This window comes from Homo sapiens, chromosome 3, assembly GCF_000001405.40.
Source record: "Homo sapiens chromosome 3, GRCh38.p14 Primary Assembly".
Classification (NCBI taxonomy): Eukaryota; Metazoa; Chordata; class Mammalia; order Primates; family Hominidae; genus Homo; species Homo sapiens.
Genome location: NC_000003.12, coordinates 7,577,928 through 7,591,617, shown reverse-complemented (window position 1 = coordinate 7,591,617; position 13,690 = coordinate 7,577,928). Strand labels below are relative to the sequence as shown.

General features: G+C 38.9%; 1 protein-coding gene across 7 annotated transcripts in view; it reads right to left on the bottom strand.

The window, feature by feature from the left end:
• The window catches only part of GRM7 (glutamate metabotropic receptor 7), an 880,419-nt gene that overhangs the window by 149,916 nt on the left and 716,813 nt on the right, over positions 1-13,690 (bottom strand). For all 7 annotated transcript variants that reach the window (XR_001740135.3, NM_181874.3, NM_000844.4 and 4 more), the window contains exon 8: positions 12,261-13,196. Coding sequence is in view for 6 of the 7 variants with exons in the window: in NM_181874.3 (NP_870989.1) it covers positions 12,261-13,196 (936 nt within the window). In the remaining variant the exon portion in view is untranslated. The remainder of the gene's footprint in view (positions 1-12,260; positions 13,197-13,690) is intronic.

Genomic DNA, 13,690 nt, shown 5'->3' with positions numbered 1-13,690 from the left:
CTCCCTTTTGTTAGCTACTTACATTCTCGTGAACATTCTGGTACCTCTATCTTTGAGGAAGTTTCTAATTTCTCCCCTTTCCAAAAATCCTAGAAATGGAACTACTGGGTGAAAAGTTATTCATATTCTAAAAGCTTTTGATATACAGCATAAAACTACCCTTCTTAAAAGATTTGATCACTTTGGACATTCATTTGTAAACAATAAAAATATTCGTTTTCCCACATCCTTACCATCACTGTGTATTACTGTATTTTTTTCATCTTTACTGTTCTGAAGACTGAAAATTATATATGAGATTGGACATTTTAATATATTCATTCATAATCAATTTCAATAAATAACTTCAAAATCAATTCCTTCACTTTAGAAAGTCTTTTTTATGTTTAACAGTGGTTGGTCATCCTTGACTATTAGCTTTGTCTGCGCAATCTTCATGACATACTCCCTCAGCAAGATTGATCTCGCTCAAGGCTGTTCTTGCTATAAACCTACTTTCTTATTTTCACAGACATTAGTGTACATGGCTCTCTCTAAACAATATATTGAGGGTAGAAACTGTATCATACTCCACAACAGATTCATTCATTCCTTCTTTCATTCTTCCATCCAATCCACAGGGATTTATTGAGCACTTACTAGGTACCAGTCACTGCTTAGAGCTCTAGGGATACAAAGTAGAACTAGAGACAGAGCAGGGCCTTACCTTTAAGGTACTTTCATTTTAATGAGGAGATACAGGTACACGTGAACAAACCAGTAAGTGACATAAGTTACTGAGGAATAGGAACAAACAGAACATGACTGGGGTGGAGCTCCCTTTAGCTGGGGTAGAGGAGAGTTAAGGAAGCCATGATATGTGTCTGTAGGCTGAGCTTCGAGTGGTGAGAAGAACACAGCATGGAAAGGTCTGCGTGACAGCCTCCTATAAAGAAGGCATATCCTGAACAAAGGTCCTGGGAAGGAAATGGCCCTGGGGTTTTCAGGAGCAGAAATACTACCAGCAAGACCGAAGAAAAGTCAGCAAGGATGAGAAGAAATTGGAAATGAAGGTCAGAAAGCTAAGAAGGCAATAGATTATCTAAGGCAGGTCCGGCAAGCTTTACTGGTAAAGTTCCGGTTTATAAATATTTTTAGCTTTGCAGGTCATATAATCTCTGTCACAGCTATTCAACTCTGTCTTTGTAGCAATAAAAGCAACCATAGGCAGTACGTAGATGAATGGATGAGGCTGTGTTCCAATTAACCTTATTTATAAAAACAAGTTACTCATTGGACAGGTCCATGGGCTGTATTTTGTGATCTTGAGTTAAACCTCCTGGGCTCTAAGAAAGAGTCTGAATACTGTCGTAATTGTAATAGTGGCAGGAGGCAATGATAATAATAGTAACAATGAGAAGCTGCTGGAAGGTTTTTGAAAAAGCAAGTGATGGATCCTCACTGGTTGGGGGTCACAGGTCATGTTACAGGTACTTAAAATTGATTGTTAAATAACAGGGGGACATTCTGAACAAAAAGGAAATTATTTTAAAACTTGATCTCCTAGAATATCTAGCTCGGGGTGGTAGACACTGAAGGAATAAAGATAGTATCACTACAGGGAACAAAAACCTTTCTTAGTTGCTGTTTCAGTACATCTACTAGTCAGGTTTTTTTTAGACCTGTATGAAGGGAGGCCTTGGATCAAAAAAATCACTGTTGGTTATAAGTCAAGGAATCAATTGGAACATAAAGCTGAATGGGAGCACACAGGCACATTAGAGAGACAATTTTCAATTTCAGGCATCAGAGGACCTGTTATAGACACTGGTGCTTCTGCATCAGCTAGACTGATTGTCAGTGTCACCATTAAGAAATCATTTCCTTACATTTTCTTTTCCCAACAACTGCAGTGGGAAGCTGGATTTCTGTGGGAAAATCCAATGATGATTCCTTTCATTTCCCAAACCCCTTCATTATGATCTAAAACTCAATAAGCTTGCTTACCAATCATCCACACAGCTCTCAACCCTGGAATAATATGGGACGTCTCCTCTTACACGGCCATTTCTAGAGATTTCAGTCCAAGGACTGTGCCATTAACTTGCCTCTACTGTTTATTCACTGTTGCCATATTGTCAACAATGAAGCATCTTAAGATTCTGACCCATTCCTAGTACATTGTAACTGGGTAATGTCCAAATTTAGAAACTAATACAAAGGTTCCAAGGCCTTATAAAACACTTATCCCTATGCAGTCCACTCAGTAAAGATTTGGGAAAAAAAGATCAGCATTTAAGTTGAACCTCAGTTTATGGCAGTAGAAACATCTATGTGGTTCTTTACTCCTCAGTTAATGTCTTTAAAAACATAATGCACAAGGTACTTCCATACCTCAAGATCTGCAACATGAAAATAAAAGACAATGATCTGATTGCTGGGTTAAAACCAAGGGCTCCATTCATCTGGCATTTGGTGTAACACCAGGCAGCAGCCTTCACCTCATCAACAATGTAATTTGGCCATGATGCCTCAAACTAGTCACTTTGACAGGGAACTGGGAAGGTTACCAGAGAAACACAATGGAATTGATAGAATTGGAAGGCAGATTTCGCCAGCCTAAATATCTGGCCTTGATGCTAAAACCCAATCATTACAATCTGATCTAGGGCTTTGGGTCTGTTAGCCAGAATCTCCCAGGTGTGAACAACTGACTCCTTATATATAAATCAAGCCTTTTTTGGAAACAATCTAAGTCCTTTGCAAGTGATAAATCACTAACGTGAGATCACATCTCAGTTGAAAGTGAGGACGAAGAGCGTGCAATATGAGAAGGAAAATGGGATGTTTTGTTTCAGTCATTCATTTGTCCACCAATACATTTCTACCGATGACTTACTGAGTGTGAGTTTCCTCCTTCAGGTATATAGAGACATCGAGAGCTTCAAGGAAGTGCTAGTGTAGTGGCATGAACTTGTCTTTTACATTCCTTGCCACAGTATACCTTGCTCTATGATCTCTCTATTGACTATTTGTGACCCGTTATCTTCCCCAACACCATCATGTACATGAGACTTAGATGGGAAAATGTGGCTTTTGTTGAGTTGGGATATTCCACAGGGGCCCTCCTTGAAACCTGCAATTAGATACCTATTTATTTGAGGTTGCTCACTTCTCAGTGCTTTATGACCTGAAAACTTTATGGCCAAACCCAGCCAGGCGAACAGAGCCGAATGTGGTCCTGAGCTGGGTGGGTAGAGAGCAACCAAATGTATTATAAAAGGTAACAAGCTGAGCCATCTGAAGATGCATAACTCCACAGCAGGTGGCATGTGCCCTGAACTCTTACGCCCCAAGTGCCAGTCATTTGAGGATAGCTTTATTCATTAGGAACTGCTTGCAGTTCAACAGCCAGAGATCCATTATACTCAGAAGAAACTAGTGTTGTGGTAACGTGCTAAGAATATACCAAAACAAGGAAGGCTGTATATGGGCAGTATTTCTAGTATACGGATACTCTTCAACAACAATTCTTATGATTACCCATAATATACATCCATTATTATGGTGTTGCAGTCTCATTCCAATGTCTCATGCTTTACTTGGGGAGGGAGGGTATAGACTGAAGCTAGTGTTCAAGTTTCCACCCCACCAAACATCCCACGAAGCAGAGATGGGAGGAGAATCATATGCTGAGTTCCCATCTAACGTTCTTTGGTATAAGGGGTTCACTGGCCTCTTTCTGAAGGGGGAAGTAAAGGTACCATAGGTGACTGCCAGCTCTGATCCAACTTTTGCTCTAAGGGATTCTTCTCATTCTTCTGCACCCTTCAGGTTGTGTGCTAACCTGGGTCTAAAAATATGAGCATTAGGAAAGTCCATTTAAATCACGACTGGTAGCCAGTGCCTATCTTCCCAGGGTAAAATTTCACGTCTTAACTGTCATGCAATCCATTACTTATAAGCAATGAGTAATTTTTTAAAGCATAAGCCCAAGCGTGTCACACCACTATCCTATAAACCATTGAAACACTTCTCTCCTTGTTTAAAAAACAAAGTGCATGCTCCTTAATAGGGCACACAGGGCCTTCTGGGGCTTTGCCTCTACCCGTCTCTCCAGTGTCAGCTCTTATAGTCCCGCTAATTTATATTACAGCCTCTCCTGACAGTTCCCCCAGATATGTGACTATTTTACCTTCTGGGGACCCTCCTGCCAATGCCCAGGTAGACATATTTTGCTAAGAGGAACCTAGGGTAGAAGAATAAAGTTATCCTTTACTGAGCATTTACCATGTGGTAGAGAGTGTTTAAAGAGCTTTACTTACTCTAATTTGCACAATTGTAATATCATTACAAATATATTTCTAGGTTCAGTACTGTGCAAATAGGCCAGTTGGCATAAGGCCGCTTAATGATTACATTTCAAGAAAAAAAGAGGAAGAGGGGAGAAAGAGAAGGGTTTCTGTAAAAAGCAATTCGTAATGGGTTTATGGAGATATAATCAATATATAATAAACTATTCATGTTGAAGTATGCAAATTGATCAATTTTGACTTATATATATCTGTGAATCCACCTCCACAATCAGGAGAGTGAACACATATTACCCCCCAAATTTTCTCATGCCTCGTTGTAATTCTTCAGCCCTTCCCTGCTTATTCACAGCCAACAACTTACTTTTCTGTCACTATAGGTTAATTTGGATATTTAAAAATTGATATAAATTGAATCATACAGTATATATTCTTTTATGTCTGGGGCCTTTTAATCAGCATTATTTTGAGATTTATCCATGCTGCTCAATGCATCAATGGTCCATTGCGGTTTTTTTGAGACAGAGTCTGGCTCTGTTGCCCAGGCTGGAGTGCAGTGGTGCAATCTTGGCCCACTGCAACCTCTGCCTCCTGGGTTCAAGCACTTCTCGTGCCTCCACCTCCCAAGTAGCTGGGTTTACAGATGCACACCACCATGCCTGGCTAATTCTTGTATTTTAGGTAGAGACAGGATTTCACCATGTTGGCCAAGCTGGTCTCGAACTCCTGACCTCAAGTGATCCACCCATCTCAGCCTCCCGAAGTGCTGGAATTACAGGCGTGAGCCACTGCGCCCAGCCTGGTCCATTGCTTTTTACTGCAGAGTAATATTCCATTTTGTAGATAAACCCACCCCAGTTTGTTTATCCATTTACCTTTTCAGGAACACTTGGGTTGTTTTCAGGGTGGGGCTATTAGAAATAAAGCTACAAAAAAAAAAACCCCTCATGTACAAGTCTTTACATGAATACACTATTTCCTTTCTCTTGGGTAAAATATATAAGAGGAATGGCTGGAGCAGTATGCTAGGTATATGTTTAATTTTTAAAATACCTGCCAAGCTGTTTTCCAAAGCAGTTGTACCATGTTTTATATTCCCACTGGCAGTATATGAGTGTTCTAGTTGTTCTTTATCCTCATTAGCATCTTGCATCATCAGTCTTTTAAGTTTGTATGCTGAGCAATTTAAATATTTTCTCTTAAACCTAGAGGTAGGAATAATTAGACCCATGGTGAAGATGAAAGAAGTGAAGACCAAATAAGTTAAGTGATACATCCAGAATGTACAATGATTAGGCTCAAAGCAGTATAGGATGGTGGAGTAGAAGAAAATGCCCAAATAAACCAGCTTCTAGGACCAGAAGAAGAGAGGGTAAATGAAGTTGGAAAGAATTCACAATTGGGCCAGTATTGTGACCTATAGTCTATGGAGCCGAGAATTTGGCAGTCCCCTGACTGCCCATCAGCACACCACGCTCTGTTATGGTTTCCTGTGCTTTGAGAAAGATTCTTTCTGAAAATGAGAGATGGTCTCTGATGCTTTGAGAAAAGCTAGGGAACAGAGATGTGTCAGTTTATCCTAGTTTGAGGCCTGGGTCCCTGTGGCTGTGTCTCTCAGTGGCTGAGGTCTCAAAGCGCAAGACACCTATGGGGAAAAGTGAGCTCCAGGGAGCTCTCCACGGGAGGTGGCAGGAAGATTCAAAATCTGTTGTTGAGTCTTCCCTTTTAGCAGGAATTTCTCTTTCTGAGTATCACTCTGTTCAAACTTCCAGTGATTAAAGCCTTTCTTTTAATGTAGTAAGCTATTCCCTTATTAGTTTTAGCTCAGTTCAGTTTTATACAGGCCCTTGATATTTACCTGCTAAAGTAGCTATTCTAGCTAAAGCAAGGGTCTAAGATGGTTGAGACTCCAATTATCCTAGGTGACTGCATATGAAATTAGCTGATTCATTATGGCAGGAAGAAAAACGACTGCACCATCCCAAGCGACTAGCTAACACCAGCCTTGCAAACAGCTGGTTTCTGACAGCTGTTTAGAGAGAAACTCAGTTATCACCAAGGTCACAGCAGGCAACAGAAAGGAAATAGTTTCATAGGCTTCTGATGGGAACGTGAACAGACAAAACCAAACAGCAGAAGCAAGACCTCAACAACCAGTATGAGTTCCTGTCACAGCATGAGTGCACAAATGGCATCAGCAAAAACTATGCACTGGGACACCTCTCTCTCCTGTGTTCCAAAGCAAGGTGAAAGTTCTTACTAAGCATGCTAGAAGAGAAAATATGGAGTTTTGTTTTAAAATAAGTTTGGGTATGTGTGTAAATGTGTGTATGTTTATATGGCTGGAAGTTACCACCAGATGATTGGACAATCATTGTCTTTAGGGTGTGGGATAATGAGAGTTCTCTTTCTTTGCCTAGTTGTTGTTGATAAAATAGATTAAATAGTCGGCAATGTTATTTTCTAAATTAAACAAATTTTGAAAATTGTATTTCTATTGAAATAACAAAACAACGTAACACAAAATAAAAGATAAAGCTTACTCTACTCGCATATTTTCTTAATGCTTAAAAAGTCCAAAATAGCTTTCAAACCTGCTCCATCTTTTCCAGTCCCTTAAGCTTTCTTCAAACCAGTGCCATCTTTTGTCAAATTATTGTAATACTCAACTAGTTTTCTTACCTCTAGCTGCTTTTCGCACTCAAGCACTATTTCCAAAATTCCCATTTCAAAATACCCTATGCTCACATTTCTCCCACATTTAGAAACTTCTGCTGACTCTTCATAGGTTCAAGGAGAAAATTCAAACAGAGCCCTTCACAATTTGGCTTTGCTGCTTTTTGCCATATCTTTGCCTCTGCTATAGAGTCCAGCCCTACAAAATGAGAGGGTGGTGGCATTGCATTAAAGGAAAGACCATGCAGAATTCAACAGGCACATAAGTCAATATTTCCTCTTAAGGTAGAACAGGCATTTCAGCTTACAAGCTACAATATTTCAAATTAACTTGACCCACTATATGGAAAAGATGTGACTCTTGCCAAAAGTTAATTTGGAATTCACATTGTTCGAAAATTTGCAGATAGAATGAGGTTTCATTAATTCTGATTATAATCTCACATTTTACAAGAGTCAAAGTTGTGTAAGTGCAATCTGTCTCTTCTCTATGTGCTATGTGTTGAAAACACTGTCCCTCACTTTTTAACGAGTAATATAATTTCTTACTACATTGTCATGCCACTTTTTCTGCCTCTAAATTTCAGTCCACTTGTCATATTTTCTGTGAAGCTTAAGTGGAAGCTCCTTCTCCATGTTCCTGTCCTTCATTCTTTGTGCGACAACTATCATATTTCTCACACTTATTCAATGTTTGTTTGAAGACCTACATTGACCATTAGTGTATGAGTTCCTAATGGAAAAGAACACTGTTTTATCTCTGCATCACAGTCCTTAACAGAGTACCAAGGGCACAGTACACGCATTGTAAGTTTAATTACTGAAAGACCATGAGAAAATTTTAAACAAATCAAATAGCACAGAAGCATAAACTAATATATAGCTTCCTAAGAGAACCAGGGCTGCTCCTTGCTGTATGGCATTTGGCAATTTAACAAAAAAGATTTGTAATTGGAGACGAAACCAACAAGAATTAAAGCACACCCCAATTCCTTGACTGTTCTTTAAGTCGATTAATCTTTACGAAAACTATCATTGGTTTTCACACAATGACAGCAAACAGCTGAATGGGAAGAGGTATCAAGAATCCGAAACTAAATCAGAAATAGCAATGGATTGCAAATTCATTCCAGTTCTGATGTGTTAATAGTCCTTGCTTTAAAACTGTATTGAGAAAGATTTCAAGACTATACCAGAGTACAGAGGAAGTGTGTCATAATTGATTAGTGATGTCTGCCTTGGGCGTGGATGGAGAAACATTTATCTACCTGCCAAATTTTCTGATCCCTCTATTAGTTCTAGGCAGATTTTACTTTGTGTTCAGATTCTGAGGGGCTATCTGTTACATGCAGAAGATCAAAAATTCTTGGTCGATATTCTCAGCCCCACAAAAATACCGCTGGGGAGCACCACTGTCTACCTATTCTATTGCTATCTCTGGTCCCAAGACCAGGGACTTGGTCCTGACTTTTTAATGGTCTCTGGCCCAAGCCTTGGGACTGATGCTTCATTTAGACATTCTAATCCTTGACTTTGTCTTTGTGGATTAGTGTCTTTCTGATCTCCTGGTTCCTTGATTTCTGGACCTCCCCTTTGCTTGAAATGGCAGTTAATTGATTCCCAAAGGTTCTGAAGTTAAGAATCAAGTAAATATTTACAGGATGTCTTCTGTAAATGGGAAGAAAGTAGTAAGGCTTTTAAAAAGTATGGTTGGCATCGTGTCCACTGGCATTTTTCCAGCAAACTTGAAAAGTGAATAGTTCTATGCCGCATTCCAGACCTGTTGAAGCAGTATGGGATTATAGGGTTGGGGAGACATGCAATAATTTGTTAAATTCCTCAGGGGGTGACCATGAACACAATTTGAAGAACCACTGAGGTAAGAATCCTGAACTGGCTCAAAGTTTGCCAATAGTTGCCCCAATTTGGTCATTTAGTGACCGAAGGCTCCCGTGGAAATCAAATTACTTAAGTTTTGTAATATAACCTTGTTCTGTTATAATATGCACAGAAAAGTGGCCTGTGGGTGCCATTTTAGAGGACACAATTCTTTCTTCAAGCCACTTTCCTTTTTAGCAATTTTCTCTGCCCTTCAATTGCCTCAATCTTTTTCTTTTTCCTCTTCTCACGGTCCTCCTATCTAAAGAAACACACTTATACACAAAGGAAGACCTTTGAGAACTTATGATCCCATTCCTTGTGTATCAAGATCATTTTCCCTTTGTAGAGTCACATTGCACAAAGCATGTCTCCCTGCCTGTGTATAAAGATATGTTAACTTACCTAGAAAGCTCTTTAGGCAATAACTGGCTACAAAGCTCTAGATGAACATATCACCTATAGAATTTTTCAGATTTTGACCGGGTAGCCTGTATGTTCCCTACCTGAGGCATACTTCTTTTCCTAGATGTGCAACTCTCTGAATAGACACAACCACAAGGCAAGCTTTTGCTTTTTATAGAAAACATTCTAGTCTTCAACAGATAGTGCCAGAACAAAATAATGGTATATTATCACATCAAACTGGGCCAGCCAGCTTCTACTGTGCTATTGATGTACCAGTTTTAGTGTGTTCTTGCATCATTACGCCACCTAAATATAATTCCTGAAGCTAGAATCATTCTCTTGTGGTTAAAGTTCACCACTTCCATCCCTGGCCACATGGCAAGATGCTCATTCTAGAAGTCATGGGATTAACAATGATAAAACAAGATAGCAGTGGTCTCCCATATCCTCCTTAACAAAAGCAAAAACAAACTTCATGGGGGTTAATATTTTGCAAAAAAAAAATAAGGAAAAGAACACTGCTGTCTCTTTATGTTGTGCTTATGAATTTGACAGAAATTTTTACAGATATTCCTAGCATACTCAATATAAATTCAATTTCTTGAAACAGTAAATTGTTATTACTGAACTCACTGCCTAATCTTATTTTTCCTGTTATAATATAATTCTTTGATTTAAAACACTTAAACTGTTTGTTAGAGCTAAACAAAAATGAAAAACTTGTGATTCTGTAGGTTGCTGGCTTGGCAAAAATCCCTTCTGATGTGATCTCTTTGTTACATTTGATAATTGGCCACTTTCCACATTTTAAATGCTATAGTTTCATGTATACACGCTGGTATTTTCTCATTGGTTGTTCATGCTTCTCTAGCCATATGCCTATAAGTGGATGTGCATTTTCATGTAATAATTTACTGTTCCCATTTGGCAATTTTGTGCCTTTAATTGTGTCAATCAACCACGTAAAACTTCATAACCTATTGAGAATACACAAAGAAAATTACGTGCCTTCTAAAACTCTGGTATAAAAAGCACACTGCTTGAAAGCTTAAATTTCCCCACACTCCAATTCTACCAATACATTGTTCTCTAGAACAACTAGAATTCAATTCCTGAAACCTTGTTTCAATTTCAGGTTTTTAAATGAATGCATAAATTATACCTGTGACCTTATTGAAAAGATCCATAGTCATGACTAGAAATGAAAAATGAAATGGTAGAGACATATATTGTCAAATAGGCATTGCAATCAGACTCATCTATAAAACCATTATAATTATTTTTCCTTTTTATGTTCCCCAAGAATAAACTTACGGGAAAGGTTTTAATGTCTTCAACCTGTTGCATGAGGTATTGAGTTGTTTTAATAACAAAATAATTATTATCTCCATAGGCTTTTAAGATACTCATCATTCCCTATAAAAAGTTCAATAGTTATCAACTTACGAGCACATATTTGGGGATTTTTTTTTTCTTCTCTCTATTGTATTTTACCACTCTAACTCATATTTTACTATTCCCTTGGCCCAGGAATACACAGAAGAAATAAAATGATATTCAAGTTGGTTTCACAGACAGTAAACATAGATTATGAAATTGAAACATGCTATGCTTATTGAGCGTATATTTTAGAAGAACTTTCTCTAAAATACTTTATGACTAAAACCATAATCTGGAACCATTCATTCTCCTTGGTTTTAGAATTCTGTGTGGTTTCATGAAATATTTACTTTTTTAAAAACACAGTTCAAAATTATAGCCCCTCTGAATTACACAATTTAGGTAAAATACATCTTTTCAGCTGGAAAACTAGATGCCATTAATCCTTTGTATGATTATATGGAGAACAGAGGTAACAAAGAAAAACTAGAGTAATCTAATTCCTGGATACACAGGCTGTTGTAAATTTTTAGACATTCTAAATCAATCCCTGTTTTTCCCATTTGAGTCCCTGAATGTTTCAGAGATTTGTCCAAAGTAACGTGGAATCAGACTAGACCCCCAATGTCCTCACATCTAATCAAGCTATCCCTAAGCCCTCTTTGCAGAGTATGTCAGTTAGAACTCTAGATCCCAGTTGTACTGACCTGCCAGAGCTGCCTACATCCAGTGAAAGACACCATATCTTATCACTATCAATATATTAGGGTTGATATTACATGAAACTATAGCCACGTGGGTGAGTATAGGAGTCAGATGTATAAGAATCATGTCTAGAATCAACACCGTAGAATTGTCTAAATCAAAGATTCACAAGACTTATAACTACCTGGAAGGTGCATGTGAACTAGCAAATATGTTGGCCTCAAAGTTTCACAGCTTGATGACACTAGCTCTGCACCAAATATTGACTCTTCCTCTTTTAGAAAGTTGCATCTCTGATCTCACTGTGAATTGCTGGATGTGATTAATGTCCATCTAGTTGTAGGGAGCCTATGCTGAAATGCTAACCAAATCTTTCCTATATTCACCCACCTGGGTATATATTGTGCATATACAATTGGGCAACTCTACTCTGTTGTAAAGCTTGAGTACTAAGTGCAATGGACAGCAATAGCCTAGGTAGCCACTTGGAAGAGCGAGAGAGCATTTACACTGGTGATAGTAATGACCATCACACACTCCCACCTGGAGAAGGTACTATGCTCCTCTTTTCCTACCCCCAAAAAATATGTGGGTAAGTGGAGAAGTTGAGGAATAAATGAATATGAAGGGTTATTTTAGATAGATAATTTTATGCTAGATAATCTCTCATTACATTTAATAATTCTATAATTTAATTGATTTGAAAAGGCTACATCTGGTTGGTTTCCAGTGGAATGAACGTGGCTCAGTTTTAGACTCTTGTAGCATTGAAGCCTACTAGACCTTGAATTAGTTCTCTACTCTTGGAAATACCATTCTGCATATACGAAACTTCTTACTTTATACAATCAATTTGGTTTCAGTACTTACAAAAATGAACACATTTTTAAAAAACATATTATGATGTGCATTTTCACTTACCTTTTCCGCTGATTGAGCGGTGCCAAAAAAAATTGGAATGAAGGCAAGCCATACTATACATGTCGTGTACATAGTGAATCCAATGGGCTTGGCTTCGTTAAAATTCTCGGGTACACCCCGAGTCTTGATGGCATACACAGTACATGTGACCATGAGAAGAATGCTATATCCCAAGGAGCAAATGATTTGGAGATCTGTAATGTCACACTTGAGAACCCCTCTGGCTTGCTCAGGGTTCATTGTCTTGTGTTCATCATAGTCTATGATGATGTTGGGTGGATCAACACCAAACCAAATGAACACCCCTAGAAGCTGAACTGATATTAAACTGGAAGTGATTGCCAGTTGTGATGTTGGGCTTATGAGTCTGGGAGCTGTTACTGATTTCTTGCCCTGCTCAAATATGCGATAAATCCGATTTGTTTTCGTCAAGAGGGCTGCATAACTGATGCACATACCCAAGCCCAAGAAAACTCGCCGGAAAGAACACACTGCCACATCTGGTTTGGCAATCATCAGGAAAGTGATGATGTAGCAAAGAAAGATGCCCGTCAAAAGAACATAGCTGAGTTCCCGCCCAGATGCCCGGACAATGGGCGTGTCATTGTAGCGGATGAAAGTGGCCATGACAAAGATGGTGGCAATGATCCCCAACATTGCCAGGAAGACAGGAATCACAGCCCAGGGGGAGTGCCACTCCAGTTTGATGATGGGAATATCCTGGCATCCGGTTCGATTTTCATTGGGCCTCTGGTCATAGGGGCAATGCTGGCATGTCATCTCATCAAACTGGTACTGGTAACCATCGCAAGGCTCACAGGTCCAACAGCAAGGAGTTCCTTTCTGTGTCTTCTTTCTCTGTCCTGGCTTACATGGTAGTGTGCACACTGAGGCGGGTATCTCTCGGACTCCTTTACCCCACTGCATGTCTTCTATCTGTAACATAAGAAATAAGAAGGTGAATCAGGCAGATTCTTCAAGAGAATAGAAAAAGAACACCAGCAGCAAACAGTACTCATGGCAAGTGACATATGAGGCATGAGGTTGAATAGTTTACCCTCAGCTTGCAAGAGTTACAAGTATGATTTGAGCCCATACCATAGGATTCCAGCATCCTCACTCTTCACCATTAGAGTGTTCTCAACGTGCCAGATCTTAAGAATTCCCTGAGGCAATACAAATTCCCTCTTCCCATTCCTGACATTCTAAATATGAATATCCTGAAAAAGAACCTTAGGGGCTGTATTTATAACAAGTGCCCAAAGGATTCTTGTGAGCAGATAACTTGAGAAAAACTGGCATGCACTCTACTGTCTTCCCCCCGGGTAATAAGTATAAATGTCCCAAATCAAGTAAAAAACAAAAACAAACAAAAAACTAGGACAGTATGAAAAGCTACACTTATCTCCTTTGTTAGGTGTTTTATTTTT